This window comes from Homo sapiens, chromosome 10 (assembly GCF_000001405.40).
Source record: "Homo sapiens chromosome 10, GRCh38.p14 Primary Assembly".
In the NCBI taxonomy this organism is placed as follows: domain Eukaryota; kingdom Metazoa; phylum Chordata; class Mammalia; order Primates; family Hominidae; genus Homo; species Homo sapiens.
Genome location: NC_000010.11, coordinates 64,796,220 through 64,815,676, shown reverse-complemented (window position 1 = coordinate 64,815,676; position 19,457 = coordinate 64,796,220). Strand labels below are relative to the sequence as shown.

General features: G+C 39.1%; 1 long non-coding RNA gene across 1 annotated transcript in view, besides 2 other annotated features; it reads right to left on the bottom strand.

Moving 5' to 3' along the window:
* Positions 1 to 723, bottom strand: part of LOC105378336 (uncharacterized) — an 88,286-nt gene extending 87,563 nt beyond the window's left edge. Inside the window, exon 1 of the long non-coding RNA XR_946020.2 lies at positions 675 to 723. This is a non-coding gene — a long non-coding RNA (uncharacterized LOC105378336). The remainder of the gene's footprint in view (positions 1 to 674) is intronic.
* Positions 4,878 to 5,555: an enhancer, noted in NCBI's record as "H3K27ac hESC enhancer chr10:66569879-66570556 (GRCh37/hg19 assembly coordinates)". NCBI's record gives its function as "activates a minimal SCP1, AML or CMV promoter by ChIP-STARR-seq in naive H9 embryonic stem cells {active_cell/tissue: H9 hESC(naive)}" and the evidence as "EXISTENCE:reporter gene assay evidence [ECO:0000049][PMID:30033119]".
* Positions 14,778 to 14,978: a silencer, noted in NCBI's record as "peak975 fragment used in MPRA reporter construct". NCBI's record gives its function as "represses an SCP1 promoter by STARR-seq MPRAs in K562 erythroleukemia cells {active_cell/tissue: K562}" and the evidence as "EXISTENCE:reporter gene assay evidence [ECO:0000049][PMID:32103011]".

Sequence of the window (19,457 nt, the reverse complement as noted above, 5' to 3'; positions counted from 1 at the left end):
TGTCTCACCTATATCTAGGTAAAATACGTTTCTCAAATATCATTAAGTGAATTTCAACTTGACTTTCAAGCCAAATTATTAGTATTTCTAGAATATCCATCTCCTTTGCCCTGCTATAGAATTACTCCAAATGTAACTCTAAGTTATCAAGCTTAGAAAATTGAAATGGAAATTTAGTTGTAGGCTGTTTTCAGCTCAGTTAGGAAGCATGCAATTGCAATTGAATGCTCAGCAGCAAACACTGCTTGAGCCTGAAGGCCTTTCAAATTTTTGTTGAGCAACTCACGTAAATGATTAAAGCATATGGCAGTGCTGTCTTTTCTTTCCTCCATAAATAAAAGAAATGTTAGTAGTATTTAACTTTGACCCAGAAACACAATGCTATTGTCACTGCAAAATGTCAGCCCCATTATGAAGTTTAAGATAGATCAGGTCAGACTTGCATTGTATTTTCTTAAGTGAAGAGAAACATTGAGTAATATATATCATGATGAAAAAAAGACATTGGAATGTTTAGGGAAAAAATTATGGTAACCTGCTATTTTACTTCTGAAACATATAAACTTTATTTTGCATGGTGTATTAATGTCTCAAAGGGAGAAATGCAATGGAAAATATGCAAAATGAATAGAAAAGTTACTAATCTGTGGTATAAGTTTCGGGGGATTTCTTACCTTTCATGTAGGCTGTGAGATACCTCCAAACACCAAGAAATTAGACCTGTTAATATAATTCCCAAAATATTGGTCTATTACTGATACTGTATTAACTCCTAAGGAGATTTAAAGAATTTAAATAACTCACTCAACGTTGCTAAATACAAACAAATAAAAAGTAACACTAAAGTTAACTTTATAATATGGGCATCTGATTGATTAGGAAGAAGGTGGAAAAGGAAAAAAACAATTGGAACAGTAAATATTTCACACTTTCTCTCATGCTCTGAATTTGAAACTCATTGTTTATTTGGGAAACTTACCATTGGGTGGACCCAAAGCATGATTTTGGTTGTAGTTCCAACCTCTTAGTTTCCATTATTTCCTGCCCTTTTCATGAACCTTGCTTCATAAATCACCAAACATTGTTGGAGAAATATCATGTTTTGAAGTACATTTTTTTCTATTCCAATTACTCAGAGTTGGTTAATCTTGTTTACCTCTCAAACATGAATTTGAAAACATTATGTTAGAGCGTGTTACAGGCAAGAGACCTGAAACCTGATATTGGTCACTGGCCCGGGTGTGAATGAAAAGTAAAGCCTGGTTCACATTAAGATAATTGGATCTGGCAGCCTATAGTTTGCAAGGTGAAACCATTAATAAAATTATCCATAATGCACTGTGAAAGCCAAGTTTGCAGGATGGAGTTGCCACTACTAGAGGAGAATATGCACAACACAGTGAACACAAGACCTATGGTGTGATGGGACTGAAATTAACAGATCTAACCAGCTTAGAGAAATAAATCACAAGTTTAGATTGCTAAATTTCAGAATTAAGGTATAGACTGAAACTCAGCAATTTTCTGCAATTGTGCTGAAAGAATAACTTACCTCTTATGAGGGAAAACATGTAATGCCCCAGGTACTATTCTAGTTATAGGACAAACAACAATAAACCTAACTAGGAAAACTCCTCCAACTATAAAGAGCTATACTTAACATAGTAAGGCAGAAAAGTAATAAAATTTTCATGATGAATAGATTAGATAGATAGGTAGATAGATAGATGATAGATAGATAGATAGATAGATAGATAGATAGATAGATAGATAAATAGATAGTTTCATTTATTTAATTTAGAGATAGATGAAAAGAAAGTGAGTATCAGAGAGGGTTGTCTGTGAGTGTATGGGTGTGTCTGGGATGGGAGTCTTGTTTTTTATATAGTGGTTAGAGAAGGTGTCACTGGCAATTTGACGTTTAAGAATGACTTAAGAAAGTATTGGAATGAACCATGTGGTTATTTGGGGGAAAGAATGCTGGAGGCATATTGATTAGCAAGTACAAGAGTCTTAAGGAAGGATCATGTCTGACATTTTAAAGAGAAAGCAAAGAGGTCAATGTGGTTGGAGCAAAGTAAGTGAGCTGGAGACTTACAAGAGATAAGTAACCACAGGCTATTCCTAGGGCTTTGGATTTCTCAAGCCACGTGAGATAGTAAGCTATGAGTCTTTAAAGCAGAGAACTGATATTATCTGACCAACTTGATTGCTCTAGTAATAGTATACTCTGATAGTCAGGGTGGAAAGAGTGACATTTGTTAAAAAGGAAAAAAAAAAGTTATCTAACATTTTTGACCTGCGAAATCAAAAGAACAGATCAATGACTTACCATGAAGGGAAAAATGTTTAGGCAATGCAAGTCAGTGTGGATTTTGAAATCATTAAGTTCAGTATTGGATATTGTGATGGTTAATTTTAGGTGTTAATTTGGGCTAAGGAATACTCAGAAAGATGGTACATCTGTGAGGGTGTTTCTGGAAGAGATTAACATTTGAACCTATAGACTGAGTAAAAATCTGAGCAAAGATCTCCTCAATTTGAGTGGACATCATCCAATGGCAGAAGAAGGGCAAATGTGCTCTCTGCTTGAGCCAGAACATTGATATTTTCCTGCCCTTGGACATCAGGGCTTCTGGTTCTTGAACCTTCAATTTGGACCAGAACTTACATCATTGACACCTCAGTTCTCAGGACTTTGCACTTGAACTGTGAATTACACTACTGGTTTCCATGGTTCCCAGGCCACCAGATTTAAGCTGGATTCAAAGTAGCACTTTGGCATCCCTGGGCTTCCAGCTTGCAGACAGCTGGAAGGTTATGAGACTTCTCAGCCTTCTTAACTTCTTTGGAGAACCCTGGCTAATACAGATTTTAGTGTTTAGAGTAGTTCTAGGAAAACAAAATTTTAAGGATGAGTTTTCTGAATTGTTTCTGGGGTATCTAGAACTGATTCCCTAATCTGATTAAAGACAATGATGACTTTCTTTTGTTAGTAAAGAGAACACTGATAGTCCATGGCATGAACTGTTTATAAAAAATATGCAACATATCTGCATTGTATAATTCTAATCAACCACGTATAAGAAACAAGGAGCTAGGTGACTCTGTATATGATACTTTCAAACATTTTTGGAAAACTAATTAATATAATTATGTTCGTTGGTTACTTCTAATGTCACCGGATATGTCTATGGCCCTACCACCCTGAACACACCAAATCTCACCTGAAAATGTCACTGGATGAATTGGTAAAGAAAAGAATGTGCTCTAGGATTCAAATTCCTAGCTCAAGTACCAAATAAATGACCTAAGAGCATCTGTGTGTGTCCTGAAAGGGTCCCTTATTTCCTGTAGCTGAAGGGCTGAAATTGCTAAAACTTAAACACAAAACCTCATCCTGCAACTGGTTAAATTACAGTGCAAGTTGAACTCTCATCTTTGAATGATTTCTACTCTTAGGGTGAGGGTATTGACTGGAAAAAGAAAATGGGATCCTATATATATATATATTGCAGTGGGGATGTGTGGAACGATCTTGATGAAACTAGATACATTCACCCCTAAATTCTGTTAAGTCTTCCATACCAATGGAAGAAGTTTTCTCACTCCTAATGGAAGTGGCCTTCTAAATCCTAGTGGCACTGGTCTCTTCACCTCTGGTGACAATGGCAACACCACTCCCAGAGATATTGGTCTCCCCACCCCCAGTGACACAGTGACAATGACCTCACTACTCCCAAGGGTCAGTCTCTCCACCCTCAGTGGTATCTGCCTTTGTCTGTACTCACAATAGTCTGGGCCTTTGTATCCATCTGAGGGGATTGACCCTGCCTTCCTTGAGCAATGACAACAGTAATGGACTCCCCTAAGGCAGTTGCCACGTAATTCGAAGCTGATTTTCCTCAGGACACCCCTTATCTCTCATCTTTGCTTCCAGACCTATAATTGGACTCAAGTTTCAGTAGACTTCTAAGAGTGAGGTGTAAAATGTGACCCATGAGGATGTAAGCTACACTCACAAAGCACTTCTTGAGTTTTCTAATTTATAAGGCAGAATCCAGAGAATGTATGTGGGGATGATACTAACAGTATGGGGTAATGGTGGCAGAAAGATAATGTAGGATTAGGCCATATTTATTGATATGTGCTCATTTAGCAGAAATTCTGCATTTAATGTTGTAGCTTCTGGGGATAGAAAGCGTTCTACAGTTTGGTTGCCTGGTTAGAACAAGGACCAAAGGATGGTCCACTGTGAGCAAATTGGAAATGCTGGATGTACCTTGGTTTAGTGTAGAGAAAGTGATTCAAAGGCTTAGGAGGTTAGAATATTAGAATGAATTTATAATTTAGTAACTACCCACCCACATTGGGAGGGTACAGAAGACATACCTTCCACCACTCTATGAGAAATAAATTTGTGAAAGAAACCCCAGGATCTTTGAAGAACTCTGGGTTCACTCTTTCTGTATGTCACACTTCAAAGTGGGAACTGCAGTCACTGAATTGGAAAATCTAAATGCAATGGGAGTAACTGGTTCCTGGGGTATCAGAGACCAAGTGGTGGAACTCAACCACCAAAGGCAGGCTGGGCTTGGTTACTGTAATGGGCAGCAGGGTGAAAGCAGCAATCAGGATAGTCTGACTTGCCCAGACCTATGAAATTAGCTAGTTTAATCATGATGTACTTAGAAGTGAAATAGTAAGACTATTCTTTTTTTAAAACGTATGTATTTTTTAATTGACAAATAGAAATTGTGTATATTAATCATGTACTGAGGGCTGGCAAGATGGCCAAATAGGAACAGCTCTGGTCTGCAGCTGACAGCAAGACCAATGCAGAAGGTGGGTGATTTCTGCATTTCCAACTGAGGTACCCAGTTCATCTCACTGGGACTTATTAGAAAGTGGGTGTAGCCCACAGAGGGCAAGCAGAGCATGGTGGGGCATCACCTCACCCAGAAAGCACAAGGGGTCAAGGAACTCCCTCCCCTAGCCAAGGGAAGCCTTGAGGGACTGTGCCATAAGGGACCGTGTTATCCAGCATAGATGCTATGCTTTTCCTGTGGTATTTGCAACCCACAGACCAAGAGATTCCCTCGGGTGCCTACACCACCAGGGCCCTGGGTTTCAAGCACAAAAGTGGGCAGCTGTTTGGGCAGACACCAAGCTATCTGCAGGAATTTATTTTTTCATACCTCAGTGGTGCCTGGAACACCAGAAAGACAGAACTGTTCACTGCCCTGGAAAGGGGGCTGAAGCCAGGGAGACAAGTGGTCTTGCTCAGTGGATTCTACTCCCACAGAGCCCAGCAAGCTAAGATCCACTGGCTTGAAATTCTCGCTGCCAGCACAGCAGTCTGAAGTCAATCTGGGATACTCAAGCTTGGTTGTGGGAGGGGCATCGGCCATTGCTGAGGCTTGAGTCAGCAGTTTTCACCTCACAGTGTAAACAAAGCCGCCAGGAAGTTTGAACTAGGTGGAGCCCACCAGAGCACGACAAAGCCACTGTATCCAGACTGCCTCTCTAGATTCCTCCTCTCTGGCCAAGGCATCTCTGAAAGAAAGACAGCAGCCCCAGTCAGGGGCTTATAGATAAAACTTCCATCTCCCTGGGACAAAGAACCTGGGGAAAGGGGCAGCCATGGGCCCAGCTCCAGCAGACTTAAATGTTCCTGCCTGTCAGCTCTGAAGAGAGCAGCAGATCTCCCAGCATAGCACTCAAGCTCTGCTAAGGGTCAGACTGACTCCTCAAGCAGGTCCCTGACCTCTGTGCCTCCTGACTGGGAGACGCCTCTCAGCAGGGGTCAACAGACACCTCATACAGTAGAGCTCTGGCTGGTATCTGGCAGATGCCCCTCTGAGATGAAGCTTCCAGAGAAAGGAGCAGTCAGTGCAGCCTCCAGTGGTGAAACCCAGGCAAATAGGGTCTGGAGTGGACCTCCAGCAAACCCCAGCAGACCTGCAGCAGAGGGGCCTGACTGTTAAAAGGAAAACTAAGAAACAGAAAGCAATAACATCAACATCAACAAAAAGGACACCTACACAAAAAACCCCATCTGAAGGTCACCAACATCAAAGATCAAAGGTAGAAAAATCCATGAAGATGAGGAAAAAAATAGCACAAAAATGCTGAAAGTTCCAAAAAAAGAATGCCTCTTCTTCTGCAAAGGATCACAACTCCTCACCTACAAGGGAAAAAAACTGGACAGAGAATGAGATTGATGAATTGACAGAAGTAGGCTCCAGAAGGTGAGTAATAACAAACTCCTACGTGCTAAAGGAGCATATTCTAACCCAATGCAAGGAAGCTAAGAACCTTGATAAAAGGTTAGAGGAACTGCCAACTAGAATAACCAGTTTAGAGAAGAACATAAATGACCTGATGGAGCCAAAAAACACAGCACAAAAACTTTGTGAAGCATATACAAGTATACAAGCTGAATCAATCAAGCAGAAGAAAGGATATCAGAGATTGAAGATCAACTTAATGAAATAAAGTGTGCAGACAAGATTAGAGAAAAAAGAATGAAAAGAAATGAACAAAGCCTCCAAAAAATATGGGACTATGAGAAAGATCAAATCTACATTTGATTGGTGTACCTGAAAGTGACATGGAGAATGACACCAAGGTGGAAAACACCCTTCAGGAAATTGTCCTGGAGAACTTCCCCAACATAGCAAGACAGGCCAACATTCAAATTCAGGAAATACAGAGAACACCACAAAGATATTCCTCGAGAAGAGCAATCCCAAGACACATAATCATCAGATTCACCAAGGTTGAAAAAAAGGAAAAAATGTTAAGGGCAGCCAGAGAGAAAGGTCGGGTTACCCATAAAGGGAAGCCCATCAAACTAACAGTGGATCTCTCTGCAGAAACCCTACAAGCCAGAAGAGAGTGGGGGCCAATATTCAACATTATTAAAGAAAAGAATCTTCAACCCAGAATTTCTTTTTCAGGCAAACTAAGCTTCATAAGTGAAAGAGAAATAAAATCATTTCCAGGCTAGCAAATGCTGAGGGATTTTGTCACCACCAGGCCTGCCTTACAAGAGTTCTGAAGGAAGCACTAAATAGGGAAAGGGAAAAATGGTACCAGCCACTGGAAAACATACCAAAATGTAAAGACCATCAACACTATGAAGAAACTGCATTAACTAATGTGCAAAATAACCAGCTGGCATCATAATGACAGGATCAAATTCACATATAACAATATTAACTTTAAATATAAATGGTCTAAATTCCCCAATTAAAAGACACAGACTGGAGAATTGGATAAATAGTCAAGAACCATCAGTGTGCTGTGTTCAGGAGACCCATCTCACATGCAAAGACACACATAGGCTCAAAATAAAGGGATGGAAGAATATTTAAAAGGCAAATGGAAAGCAAAAAAAGGCATGGGATGCAATCCTATTCTCTGATAAAACAGACTTTAAACCAACAAAGATCAAAAAAGACAAAGAAGGGCATTACATAATGGTAAAGGGATCACTGCAACGAAAAGAGCTAACTATCCTAAATACATATGCTTTCAATACAGCAGCACCCAGATTAATAACACAAGTTCTTAGAGACCTACAAAGAGACTTAGACTCCCACACAATAATAGTGGGAGACTTTAACACCTCATTGTCAATATTAGACAGATCAGTGAGACAGAAAATAAACAAGGATATTCAGGACTTGAACTCAGCTCTGGACCACGTGGACCTAATAGACATCTACAGAACTCTCCACCCAAAATCAACAGAATATACATTTTTCTCAGCACCACATAGCACTCACTCTAAAATTGAACACATAATTGGAAGTAAAACAGTCCTCAGCAAATGCCAAAGAATGTAAATCATAACAGTCTCTCAGACCACAGTGCAATCAAATTAGAACTCAGAATTAAGAAACTCACTCAAAACCACACAACTATATGGAAACTGAACAACCTGCTCCTGAATGACAACTGGGTAAATAAGAAAACCAAGGCAGACATAAATAAGTTCTTTGAATCTAATTATAACAAAGACAAAATGTACCAGAATCTCTGGGACATAGCTAAAGTAATGTTTAGAGGGAAATTTATAGCACTAAAGGCCCACATGAGAAAGCGGGAAAGATCTAAAATCCACATCCTAACATCACAATTACAAGAACTAGAGAAGCAAGAGCAAACAAATTCAAATGCTAGCAGAAGACACAAAATAACTAAGATCAGAGCAGAACTGAAGGAGATAGAGACAAAAAAAACCCTTGAAAAAAATCAGTGAATCCAGGAGCTGCTTTTTCTAAAAGATTAACAAAATAGATAGACCACTAGCCAGACTAATAGAGAACAAAAGAGAGAAGAATCAAATACACACAGTAAAAAATGATAAAGGGGATATCACCACTGATCCCACATAAATGCAAACTACCACCAGAGAATACTATAAACAACTCCATGGAAATAAACTAAAAAATATAGAGGAAATGGATAAATTTCAGGACACATACACCCTCCCAAGGCTAAACCAGGAAGAAGTCGAATCCTTGAATAGACCAATAACAAGTTCTGAAATTGAGGCAGTAACTAACAGCATACCAAACAACAAAAGCCCAGGACCAGATGGATTCACAGCAGAATTAGACCAGAGGTACAAAGAGGAGCTGGTACCATTCCTTCAGAAACTATTCCAAACAATAGAAAAAGAGGGACTCCTCCCTAACTCATTTTATGAGGCCAGCATCATCCTGATACCAAAACCTGGCAGAGACACAACAAAAAAAGATAATTTCAGTCCAATATCCCTGATGAACATCGATAAGAAAATCCTCAAAAAATAACAAATAAATAATAGGCAAACTGAATCCAGCAGCACATCAAAAAGTTTACCCACCAAGATCAAGTTGGCTTCATCCCTGGGATGCAAAGCTGGTTCAACATACGTGAATCAATAAATGTAATCCATCACATAAACAGAACCAATGACAAAAAACACATGATTATCTCAATAGATCCAGAAAAGGCCTTCAATAAAATCAACACCCCTTCATTGCTAAAAACACTCAATAAACTAGGCACTGATTGAATATTTCTCAAAATAATAAGAACTACTTATGACAAACCCACAGCCAATATCATACTGAATGGGCAAAACCTGGAAGAATTCCCTTTGAAAACCGGCACAAGACAAGGATGCCCTAACTCACCAATCCAATTCAACTCAGAATTGGAAGTTCTGGCCAGGGCAATCAGGCAAGAGAAAGAAATAAAGCATATTCAAACAGGAAGAGAGGAAGTCGAATTGTCTTTGTTTGCAGATGATATGATTGTATATTTAGAAAACCCCATCGTCTCAGTCCAAACTCTCCTTAAGCTGATAAGCAAATTCAGCAACGTCTCAGGATAAAAAATCAATGTGCAAAAATCACAAGCATTACTATACATCAATAATAGACAAACAGAGAGCCAAATCATGAGTGAACTCCCATTCACAATTGAACTAACCTGCTCCTGAATGACAACTGGGTAAATAACAAAACTAAGACAGAAATAAGTAAGTTCAAAGAGAACTTGAACTTATTTATTACAAATAAGTTTAGTAATTTAAATAATTACAAAGAGAATAAAATACCTAGGAGTACAACTTACAAAGGATGTGAAGGACCTCTTCAAGGAGAACTACAAACTGCTGCTCAAGGAAATAAGAGAGGACACAAACAAATTGAAAAACATTCCATGCTCCTGGATAGGAAGAATCAATATCTTGAAAATGGCCAGACTGCTCAAAATGATTTATAGATTCAATGCTATTTCCATCAAGCTACCATTGACTTTCTTCACAAAATCAGAAAAAAAAATACTTTAAATTTCATATGGAACCAAAAGTGAGCCCATATAGCCAAGACAATCCTAAGCAAAAAGAACAAAGCTGGAGGCATCATGCTACCTGAATTCAAACTATACTACAAGGCTACAGTAACCAACGCAGTAACCAAAACAGCATGGTACTGGTACCAAAACAGATATATAGACCAATGGGACAGAACAGAGGCCTCAGAAATAACACCATGTATCTACAACCATCTGATCTTTCACAAACCTGACAAAAATAAGCAATGGGGAAAGGATTCCCTATTTAATAAATGGTGTTGGGAAAACTGGCTAGCCATATGCAGAAAACTGAAATTGGATCCCTTTCTTACACCTTATACAAAAATTAACTCAAGATGGATTAAAGACTTAAATGTAAGACCTAAAACCATAAAAACCCTAGAAGAAAATCTAGGCAATACCATTCAGGACATAAGCATGGGCAAAGACTTCATGACTAAAACACCAAAAGCAGTTGCAACAAAAGCCAAAATTGACAAATGGGATCTAATTAGAAAGCTTCTGCACAGCAAAAGAAACTATCATCAAAGTGGACAGGCAACCTACAGAATAGGAGAAAATTTTTGCAATCTATCCCTCTGACAAAGGGCTAATATACAGAATCTACAAGGAACTTAAACAAATTTAAAGAAAAAAAAAGACCCCATCAAAAAGTGTGTGAAGGATATGAACAGACACTTCTCAAAAGAAGACATTTATGCAGCCAACAAACATTTGAAAAAAAGCTCATCATCACTGGTCATTAGAGAAATGCAAATCAAAACCACAGTGAGATACCATCTCATGCCAGTTAGAATAGCAATCATTAAAAAGTCTGGAAACAACAGATTCTGGAGAGGATGTGGAGAAATAGGAATGCTTTTACACTGTTGGTGGGAGTGTAAATTAGTTCAACCATTGTGGAAGACAGTGTGGTGATTCCTCAAAGATCTAGAACCAGATTTGACCCAGCAATTCCATTACTGGGTATAAACCCAAAGGATCATAAACCATTCTACTACAAAGACACATGCACACATATGTTTATTGCAGCACTATTCACAATAGCAAAGACTTGGGACCAACCCAAATGCCCATCAGTGATAGACTGGATAAAGAAAATGTGGCACATATACACCATGGAGTACTATGCAGTCATAAAAAAGAATGAGTTCATGTCCTTTGCAGGGATAAGAATGAAGCTGGAAACCATCATTCCCAGCAAACTAACACAGGAACAGAAAACCAAACACTTCATGTTCTCAGTCATACACGGGAGTTGAACAATGAAAACACGGAGGGAACATCACACACTGGGGCCTGTTGCGGGGTGGGGGGCTAGGGGAGGGATAGCATTAGGAGAAATACCTAATGTAGATGACAGGTTGATGGGTGCAGCAAACCACCATGGCACATGTATACCTATGTAACAAGCCTGCACGTTCTGCACATGTATCCCAGAACTTAAAGTATAATTAAAAAATTAAAAAAATAATTGACCACATGATGTTTTGGAATATGTATACATTATGAAATAAAAGTCTACTAAAGTCTTATTGGATATGTATAAACAGAAAAATTCCAAGTCAAGTAAACAAAAGTGTATCTCAAATTATAAAGTTAGTCATCATCTTTCAATCAATTCTCAGACTTGAGCCAATTTATAGGCCCAGAACCCCCTTGAAGTAAGGGGGAATCCAGTTCCTCTTGAGGAAATATTCCAACAGACTACCAAAAAGTATGTTGTAAATCTTTCTCCCAGTCTTCCCCAAAAAGATCTTGGCCAGTGCATTAGGAAAAATAAAATAATCCAATTTTAGGGGAACTACTGGACGCTAGCTCTGAAATAATATTAATCATCATCGTGGCTCACCATTCAGAGTAGGAGCTTATGAAGGTCAGTTGATAAATAAAGTTTTAGCTCAGATCCATCTCATAGTGGGTCGAGTGTGTCCCTAAACCCATCCTGTGGGTATGCAATTATGCATTCCCGGTTCTAGAATGCATAATTGAAAGAGACATACATAGCAGCTGCAAGAATCCCCACATTTGCTCTCTGATCTGTGTAGTTAGGGCTATTATGATGGGAAAAGCCAAGTGAAAACACTAGAATGGCCTCTACCCATGAACATAGTAAATCACTGATAATAAAACATTCATTGAGGGATTGCAGAGATTATTAGTGCCACTGTTAAGAAAAGATGCAAGGATAGCAATTCACACCGTATCTCCATTCAACTCTCCTATTTGGCCTATGCAGAAGACAAATGGATCTTGGAGAATGACAGAGGATTATCATAAATTTAGCCAGGTTAGTGACTCCGCAGATTCCCCCCAAAACTGGGCAACAGCATCACAACAGCCCCTCTCAAGGACATCCCTGAAGGAGAGTCATGATGGAAAATCTTCCCAGTGAGTAGATCTTTGAACAGGGTACCTGGTTGCACACATTTTGCCACAAAGGAGAAATGAGAAAAAGTTCTTCTATCCCAGTTCATGGGCTGTAGCCAATGGTTTGACTGGATGGTCAGGGAATTTGAAGAAACGTAATTGGAAAACTGCTGAGAAAGAAACATCGGGAAGAGATATATGAATATATATCTCTGAAGGAAAAAAAATGTTAAAATATGTGTGTCCCACAAGAATGCTCACCAAGAGGTGACCTCAGCTGTGGAGGGGGGTTTTGAAATCAAGTGGACAGAGTAACCCATTCTTTGAATACCAGTCAGCCTCTTTCCCCAACCACCCCTGTTATCACCCAATTGGCTTACGAATAAAGTGACCATGGTGATAGGAAAAGAGGTTAAGCATGGGCTCGGCAACATGGACTTTCATTCATCAAGGCTCACCTGGCTATGGCCTCTGCTGAGTGCCCAACATGCCAGCAGCAGAGACTGGCACTGAGACCTCTATATGGCATTATTCCCCAAAGTGATCAGTCAGATACCTGGTGGCAGGTTGATTACACTGAATTATTTCCATCATGGAATGTGTAGTATTTTGTCCCTATTGGAATGGACACTTACTCTGGGTTTTTCTTCCCTGAGTGCAGTGTTTCTGCCAAAGCTACCATATGTGGATCTACAGATTGCCTTTTACACTGCCATGGTATTCGTCACAGCATTGCTTTTAATCAATGAAATCATGTCACAGCAAAAGAAATGTGGTAAGGAGGCCATGCTCATGGAATTCACTGGTCTTACCATGATCACCACCATTCTGAAGCAGCTTGCTTGATAGAGCAATAAAATGGCCTTTTGAAGGTTCAGTTACAGTGCAAGTGAGTGTCAAAACTTTGCAGGGCTAGGGTATGGTTTTTCAGAAGTCTGTATATGCTCTAAATTAGCCTCCAATATATGGCATTGTTTCTTTCATAGCCAGGATTCATGAGTCTGGAAATCAAGAGGTGGAAACAGGAGTAGCACCACACCTCTTATTGTCACCCTTGGAAATTCACTAACAAAATGTTTACTTCCTGTTCCCATGACATTCTGCTCTGCTGGCCTAGAGGTCTTGTTCAAGAAGGAAGAATGTTTCTACCAGGAGGCACAACAATGATTTCACTGAATTGGGATTTTTAAGACAAGTACCTGGCCACTTTGGGCTCCTCATCTCACTGAATCAACAGGTAAAGAAGGGAGTTATGGTGTTAGCTAGGGTGATTAATCCTGACTACCAAGGGGAAATTGAACTACTTCTCCAAAATGGAGGCAAAGAAGAATATGTCTGGAATACAGGAGATCCCTTAAAGTGTCTCTCAGTGTTACCATGCCCTGTAACTAAGGTCAATGGAAAACTACAACCCAATTCAAACAGGACTACTAATAGGTGAGACTCTTCAGGAATGAAGGTTTGGGTCACCCTACCAGGTAAACAACCACAATTAGCTAATGTACTTGCTGAAAGCAAAGGAAATACAGAATGAGTAGTAGAAGAAGATAGTTATAAATACCAGCTACAATCATATGACTAGTTACAGAAACAAGGACTCAAGCTGCCATGAGTGTTTTCTTCTTATTTTGATATATATACACACACATATATGCATTTGATATGTACACATATATATACACACAAATACATCTGTGTGTATATATTTATATACATACATATATTAAGCCAATATCTTTGGTTTCTTTTCTCTCTTTTTTTCAATTATATAATATAAAATGTACCGACTTTATATCACCATTTTAGTATTATTAATTTTACATAATAGTATTTAAGAATGGGTTACCAGGAGAAGAGAAAACCACTCATGGACTTTACCTTCTCTACTGGAAAATGGACCAACGTGCAGGATAGCTGTATCACATTAGTTGGAATTAGGACCTTATTATTGTCTTTATTTAGGTATTTGGTATTTAAGAAGAGGTTTATAAATGCCAAGTTGATAAAGGGTAGGATTGTGATGATTAATTTTAGGTGTCAATTTGACCATGCTAAGGAATGACCCAATATATGGCAAAATATTATTTCAGGGTGTGTGTGAGGATGTTTTCAGAAGAAATCATTATTGAATCTGTAGGCCGAATGTGGAAGATTGCCCTCTTCAATGCTGATGGACACCACCCAACCTGTTGAGGGCCTGAATAGAACAAAAGGTAGAGGAACAGCAAGCTTGCTCTCTGCTTGAGTTGAGACATTCATCTTCTTCTGCCCTTGGAAATTTTGCTCCTGGTTTTCTGGCACTCAGACTTGGACTAGGATTTAAATCATCAGAATGTTGGAAGAAATATGGACAGTAGAGGCCATTCTGATGAGGTATCAAATGGAAATGAGCATGTTAGTTGACAATAGATTAAAAAAAATCTTTGTTACAAAGTGGCAAAGAGCTTTGCTGAATTGTATTTGTGTTCTAGTGTTTATTCGAAGCTACTTGGCTGAAGTTATTTCTAAGCAAAGTTGTGGAGTCTTAACTGTCCCTGACTGCTTATGGTAAGCAGAAAGAAGGATAAACGGTTTAAAGTGGAATTATTAAGCAACAAGGAGGCAGAACTTAAAGATTTGAACATTTTTCAGCTTATTCATATGGAAAGAAAAAGAGACCTTTTCGTGGAAGAACATTAAGGGCGTGGCCAAGATAAGGAGATTCATATAGATGTGAACCATGGACTTACTCAGCCACCAGAGCAGGAAAACTGCCAGTTTGACTTGAAGAAAAAGGACACAAAAAGGAATAAAGGAAGACTGTCCTACTTTCTGTATTTTATAGGACAGAACTATAGAGCTACTCAGCTTCAAATGTGCACTATTCTTTAAAACCGGAGAAGAATGACCTCAAACGCAATTCAGAGATCATTAGGGCTGCCTCCTTGGTTTCAAAAGGGGAGACCATCACCTTTCTTTCAACAGGCCTAACAATTGTGCGAAGCTGTGGAGGCGGGACCACTGCCCCAGTGGTTTCAGAGGCAGGATTGTCACCCCAGTGGGTCAGAAATGTAGGACTACTGTCACTGTGTGCCTAAAAGGCACAACATTGAGCCGAAGAGGATTATTCTGAAGTCTTAAAATCTCATGGAGTTTGCTTTGTACTTTGTACTTCATACTTACTTGGAATCTGTTACCCCTTTCTTTTTTCCTGATTTCTCTCTTTTGGAATGGAAATGTGTATTTTATGCCTGTCCCATGATTGCATTTTGGATACACATGAGTTGTTTGGTTTCACAATGTCACAGCTGGAGAGCAGTTGGCCTCAGGATTAACTGTACTTTATTTAATTTAATTTAATTTATTTATTTATTTACTTTTTTGAGATGGAGTCTCACTCTGTTTCCCAGGCTGGAGTGCAGCAGCACGATCTTGGCTCACTGCCAGCTCTGCCTCCCGGGTTCACGCCATTCTCCTGCCTCAGCCTCCCCAGCAGCTGGGACTACAGGCGCCTGCCACCACACCCAGCTAATTTTTTTGTATTTTTAGTAGAGACGGTGTTTCACCGTGTTAGCCAGGATGGTCTCCATCTCCTGACCTCGTGATCCGCCCGCCTCAGCCTCCCAAAGTGCTGGGATTACAGGCGTGAGCCACTGCGCCCGGCCAGGATTAACTGTACTTTAAATCTCATCCATATCTAATTTAGAGGATATTTAGATGAGACCTTGGATTTTAGACTTTAGAGTTGATGATAGAACAAGTTAAGATTTTAGGGGCTGTTGAGATATAATGAATGCATTTTGCCTGTGAGAATAGCATGAGCTTTGGGGGACCAGAGGCAAAATGCTATAGACTGAATATTTGCTGTCCCCACCCCCAATTCATATGCTGAAATCCTAACCACCAATATGACGGTATTAGGTGGTGGTGGTGCCTTTTGCAGGTGATTAGATTTTGAGGGTGAAGCCCTCATTAATAAAATTTGTGCCCCTATGAAAGAGGCTCCCGATAACTCCCTTACCCCTTTTACTATGTGAGGACACAGAGAAAAGAAGACCACTATGCATCAAAGAGTGTGCCCACATCAGACTCTGAATCTGCTGGGATCTTGATCTTGGACTTCCCAGTCTCCAGAACCATGAGAAATAAATTTCTGTTGTTTATAAGCCACCTAAGTATGCTACTTTGTAATAGCAGCCCTTGACTTAGACAGCTATGTTAAAGTTGAGATGCTCCTTGGATTTATAATGGTAAATATTGAGTTGGCTGTTGGCTATACAAGTTCAAAGTTTAAGAGAGACTTGCAGGATAGAGATTTAACTTGGAGAGGTTTTTAATCATACTGACAATATTTAGAAATATGAAATTAGGTGAGATAACCTAGAAGAGGTTCAAGAACTTAGTTCTGAGGTCATCCAAGAAGAAAGAAAGATATAAAGAAAGCACCAAAGGAGACTAAAGAGGATCAGCTATTGAGTTAGAAAGAGAATAATGAGGGTGGGATGCCAGAAGTCAAGTGCAGAAAAATAAAAACAATTAGATGAAGACTGAGATTTGACTCTTAGTGATAGATTGGATTATTATTTGCAAATTTCCACACTCTCTCTGAATTGGAATTATACTTCTCCTATCCTATGCAGCATAACTTAACAGTATACTCCTACAGTGAGTGGAATTTCTTTTCCTAACATTGTTAATATAGGGCTCATGGACATTACTTGCTTCAGCCAATGGAATGTTAGCAAATGCAATATAAAAAGATGCCATAAAGATTTGCACAATTTGGTTCAATCTCTTATGCTCTTGCTACTTATTCTGACAAAAACATGCCATCATTCACTATGAAAAAGATATGCTCTGGATAGCAGCTGGGCTAGGGATGATGAGAGAAATGGCCAGCTTGAATCCAATCCAAATAAACAAGCCACCTAAAGCAAAGCCACTTATCTATGCCCATCCTAAATTAGTCCAGCTGTACTCAACCTGCAACATGCGGCCCTGATAATAAATTTTTTTGTAACCCACTGAGATTCTGAAGTTGTTATGCAGCATTAATTTGGCAATAGCTGGATAATTCAGTGTTGTATTTGGCAGTTTAATGTCATGTAGTTATTTTGCCAGTGCTATTTCAGAGTCATGTCCAGAACAAAACTCTGATTAGAGTGGATTAAAAAAAACAAAAACAAAAACAAAAAAAACAGGAGGAAAATACAGAGAGAATGTATAACAAACTTTTTTGAGAATCACATATATAAATGGGAAAAAAAATTCAATGATATAAATTAGGCTATAAATGTATAGTAAAAATAAATTGTCTTCATTTATTTCTTGTGTTTCAAAAAACTATAGTCAGGTTAGTCACAGTGGCTCACACCTGTAATCTTGGCACTTCGGAAGGCTAAGGCAGGAAAATCTTTTGAGCCCAAGAGTTTTAGACCAGCCTGGGCAAGTTAGGGAGACCTCATCTCTGAAAAAGAAAAAAAAAAGAAAATAGCCGGGCATTGTGGCATGTGCCTTTAGTTCCAACTACTCGTGAGACTGAGGTGGAAGGATCACTTGAGCCCAGGAGGTTAAGGTTGCAGTGAGCTATAATCACACCACTGCACTCCAGCTTGGTTGACAGAGTGAGACCCCGTCTCAAGAAACAAACAAACAAAAAAGTATAATCATGGGGTATCTTTCACAATTTAACTTCAAGTAATATGTTTGGTTCTTAAGTAAGTATACATCCATAGGGAATACCAGGTGTATTAGTCTGTTCTCACACTGCTAATAAAGACATACACAAGACTGGGTAATCTATAAAGAAAAGAGGTTTAATTGACTCACAGTTCCACATGGCTGGGGAGGCCTCATGATCATGGTGGAAGGCAAATGGGGAACAAAATCACGGTGGCAGGCAAGACAGCTTGTTCAGGGGAACTCCTATTTATAAAACCATTGGATCTCATGAGACTTATTCACTACCATGAGAACGGTATGGGGGAAACTGCCTCCATGATTCAATTATCTTCACCCAGCCCCGCCCTTGACATGTGGGGATTATTACAATTCAAGGTGAGATCTGGGTGGGGACATGCCCAAACCATCTCACCAGGAAAAGGAAAGCGTTTTATTAATTTGGTCTATATTAGCTAAAACTGAGCCTTGAGAATGAATAAGATTCTTAAGACTCAGAACTGTGTTGTATTAAAAGCATCATAATCTGCATAATCTTTTCTGATTTACTCTACTTAGTTAAATGGAATGCCACTAGAAATAAAAAAAAATCCTTTCACTCTCCAACCCCATCTTGACACTACTCCTGGGACTATCTTAAATTTAGAGCAAGTATTCTTGCCTCAACAGTATGCTAAGAAGTTTAATTAACAGAAAATTATATTTCACACCTATGTCAAGTATGAAATACATGCATAGAAAATAAGCATGGAAATCATGGGCAAACTTGCTTTACAGAACCCATCTGCCAGACATACTAAAATGGCATTATTTACCTTTTCTTGAGCAGGTAGCTAATTTCTGTGGGAATTTTTAGATGTTAAACCTCAGAAATTCTCAGAAATCCTGTTTTCTTTGCACTATGTACATGAAAAGAGTGAAAGCAAACAAAAACAAAAAATCTCTATTTGTAGTTTAGCACCTCTGGCCCCTCCTCTTTGGCTGAGAAGAGATCAGATGTCCAAATATCCTGCCCCTAGAGAGAGCACACAGATGGACCTCAGAAGGATGTTGAAGTCTGTGGGCTCCCCAGAAAGCTGAGATAGTTATATGTGAGCCCTTTTCAGGCAGGGATAGGAGAGCTTTCACCAAAACTAGTGAAATCACCTAAGCCAGAGACTTATGGATATCCATTCTAGGGAGACAACTCATCTTTTGGCCTGAAGTTATTAGATTATTTTTCTCCATTACTTTGCTGTTTTTGCTCTTGAGAAAAGGGGGTTTTTTCATCTTTCCTATGTTATCCTGAGAGTCAAATATGGTGAATAGTCGAATGGGGATAACATCTCACGAAGTCATTCTGAGGATCAGATAATTTCTGGGTGGATGGCAGGCCAGATACCTCTTTGTTGTTTGCATGTGTTTTTTCAGTTATAGAACTTTCAAAGATGAGATTGGAGTTTAGAGATATGTCCTTAAATCGTGGGACAATGACAATCCTACATGCATTCGACAAATATTTATTGAACACATTGGTAAACCAGATAACACAATCCCTGCATTCATGTAGCTTT